Raw genomic sequence first — 3,559 nt, 5'->3', positions numbered from 1 at the left:
AGGAAGAAAACACATCTTACCATGGTGGAGCAGGAAAGAGAGAGAGTGAAGGGGAAAGTGCCATACAGTTTTAAACCATCAGATTTCATGAGAACTCCCTCACTATTATGAGAACAGCAAGAGGGAAATCTGCCCCCATGATCAAATCACCTCCCACCAGGTCCCTTCTCCAACATTGGGAATTACAATTCAACATGAGATTTGGGTGAGGACATAGAGCCAAACTGATACTGTTAGGTTTTGTGTCCCTACCCAAATCTCCTCTTGAATTGTAATCCTCGGGTGTTGAAGGAGAGATGTGATGGGGTGATCAGATCATGGGAGTGGTTTCTGCCATGCTGTTCTCATGATAGTGAGTGAGTTCTCATGAGAGCTGATGGTTTTATAAGGGGCTCTTTTCCCTTTGCTTCCTACACACATGTATCTCTCTCACCTGCTGCCATGTGAGATGTGCCTCTTCCCTTTCCACCATGATTGTAAGTTTCCTGAGGCCTCCTAAGCCATGTGAAACTGTGAGTCAATTAAACCTCTTTTCTTTATAAATTACTCAGTTTCACGCAGTTCTTTATAGCAGTATGAGAACAGACTAATACACAAACCATATATTTCGTTCCCCGGCCCCTCCCAAATCTCATGTCCTTCTCACATTTCAAAACACAACCATGCCTTCCCAACAGCCCCCAAAAGTCTTAATTCATTCCAGCATTAACTCAAAAGTCAAAGTCCAAAGTTTCATCTGAGACAAGGCTTGTCCCTTTTGCTTATGAGCCTGTAAAATCAAAACCAAGTTAGTTGGCATTGGGTAAATGCTCCCATTCCAAATGGGAGAAATTGGCCAAAAAAAGATGATCACAGGCCCCATGCAAGTACAAAAGCCAGCAGGACAGTCATTAAATCTTAAAGCTCTGAAATATTCTCCTTTGACTCCATGTATCACATCCGGGCAACACTGAGGCAAGGGGTGGCCTCCCAAGGCTTGGGAAGCTCCACCTTTTTGGCTGTATAGGCTACAGCACACGCATCTGCTTGCATGGGCTGGCGTTGAGTGTCTGCAGCTTTTCCAAGCGCACAGTGCAAGCTGTCAGTGGATCTACTATTCTAAGGTCTGGAAGATGGTGATGGTGGCTCTCTTCTCACAGCTCCACTAGGTAGTCCCCCAGTGGGGACTCTGTGTGGAAGTTCTAACCCCAGATTTTCCTTCCCCACTGCCCTAGTAGAAGTTCTCCATGAGGGCTCATCCCCTGCAGCAGACTTCTGCCTGGACCTCCAGGCATTTCCATACATCCTCCAAAATCAAGGTGGAAGCTCCCAAACCTCAATTCTTGACTTCTGTGCACACACAAGCCCAACACCACGTGGAAGCCACCAAGGCTTAGGGCTTGCACCTTCTGAAGCAATGGCCCAAGCTATACCCTGGACCCTTTTAGCCACAGCTAGAGCTGGAGTGGCTGGGACACAGAGTGCCATTTCCCAAGGCTGCACAGAGCAGTGGGGCCCTTGTCCTGGCTCACAATGCCATTTTTCCCTCCTAGGCTTCCAGGCCTGTGATGGGAGGAGCTGCCACAAAGTCTCTGAAATGCTTTGGAAGTGTTTTCACATTGCCTTGGCTATTAACATTTGACTCCTCTTTACATATGCAAATTTATGCAGCCAGCTTGAGTTCCTCCCCAGAAAACAGGTTTTTCTGTACTACCACATGGCCAGGTTGCAAATTTTTCAAGCTTTTATGCTCTGCTTTCCTTTTAAATACAAGTTCCAGTTTCAGATCATTTCTGTTTATGAAGACGAGCATAGGCTTTTATTTTTATTTTTATTTATTTATTTTTTTGAGCATAGGCTTTTAGAAGGAGCCAGGCCACATCTAGAATGCTTTGCTGTTTAGAAATTTCTTCCACCAGATACCCTAAATCATCTCTCTCAAATTCAGAGGTGCACAGATCCCTAGAGCAGGGGCACAATGCCACCAGTCTCTTTGCTAAAACATAGCAAGAGTAATCTTTACTCCAGTTCCCAATAAGTTCTTAATCTCCATCTGGGACCACCTCAGCCTGGATTTCACTGTCCATATTACTATCAGCATTTTCCATGTCCTTCCCCCAACTTTGGGAATTACAATTCAACATGAGATCTGGGTAGGGACACAGAGCCAAAGCATATTGGTACTCAGTCTTTTTTTTTTTTTTTCATTTCAAAACATTTATTTTTAATTGACTTGCTGAAATAGGGCATTTTTTAACCTGCAGGCAAAATACACTAAAAATACTCAGATTACAAATTGACAATATCTCCAGAAATTAGACATGATGTTTGCCTCATATAAAGCAGATTTATATATGTAGAAATATGTCTGATTTATTGGGAAGCTTTTAGGGTTATTGATGAGGAAACTAAATGCTTGTAGGGGAAAGAGAAGGCTCTGCTTTTTTTAAACTACAGCTACTTCTAACAATTTGATTAGTTAGTTTTGCCGTCCTGTGACAAGAATCTTCTGGGGTTATGAGCAAAAGAATTTGTTGTCTTATAAATGAATTCAACAGTATCCACTTTACTAGGAAATTTAACTTCCAAGGTATCTTACCTGAAATCCTTTCTTAAGAAGCTATTCTTATGTAAACTTCAGACTGGCCACTCAAACCTCAGTCTTGCCTTACCGCTGAAGCTCTACTGTGTCTAGATTTTTTAAACACTGTTCCATTATTTATACATAGGATTTCTTTTTTTGCCCTTTGTGGTAGCTCTCTATGGTTGTGGAAATTTTGTTGCTATTGTTACTCTTAAAATGTTTTCTGTCTTCATTCACTGACTGGTATTTTATTTTAATTTATTTTCCCCTTACGCTTTACATAGAAAATGTGGTGTAGAGGATAAAATAAAGACAATTCATGATACAATTAGTGGAAACCATGTGCCATTTAGTTTTCCCTCTTGTTATTTCTTCAAAGATCCTCCCTGAATCTCCTTAGAGTCTTCCCTAAGTGAAGCCCTTCTCTGTGAAGTTTACTTTGGTGCTTAGAAATTGCCTTATCTCGGTGAGTGAGGAGAATTAAAGGCCATAATTGTTGAAACAACTAGTTGTCTTTTTCAAGAGATACTTGGAACTTATGTGAAAAAATAAAAGAGCTAAAAAACATCGTGTTCGATATACACATCTAGCTGATTCGAGGTGTTTTTCTAAGCAGCCCACAACACAGATGGAGAAAAAAGTTAACAGCCAAAATTTATCCTAGAAGGATCACCTAATGATAGCATGACAGGTTTTTTTTTTTTTTTTAAGAGAAGAGGCATGTAGTTTTAAAACATCCTTTTAGACAAAACAATAGCAGATAAAATTCCATGACTATAACTAAGTTTTTAAACTTTCTTTTGTGTTGGCCTGTCTTAAGGTTTCACTGGCCTGAAAAACGAATTCGAAAGAATTGTACTTTTGCGCAGAACTTTTCAACTCAAATCATCCCAAATAAGAAGAACCTTAGTATGGCTGGGATGATCTTCAGTGGATATTTTTAGGAGAATGGTGGTTGTTTCTCATGTCTCTCTGCCTTGTGATATCTTTCTACAA

General features: G+C 40.8%; 1 annotated feature.

The window, feature by feature from the left end:
- Positions 1,329–1,899: an enhancer, noted in NCBI's record as "OCT4-NANOG hESC enhancer chrX:95211663-95212233 (GRCh37/hg19 assembly coordinates)". NCBI's record gives its function as "activates a minimal SCP1, AML or CMV promoter by ChIP-STARR-seq in naive and primed H9 embryonic stem cells {active_cell/tissue: H9 hESC(naive and primed)}" and the evidence as "EXISTENCE:reporter gene assay evidence [ECO:0000049][PMID:30033119]".

The sequence above is a fragment of the Homo sapiens genome, chromosome X, assembly GCF_000001405.40.
Source record: "Homo sapiens chromosome X, GRCh38.p14 Primary Assembly".
Classification (NCBI taxonomy): Eukaryota; Metazoa; Chordata; class Mammalia; order Primates; family Hominidae; genus Homo; species Homo sapiens.
This window is presented reverse-complemented; position numbering and strand designations above follow the sequence as displayed.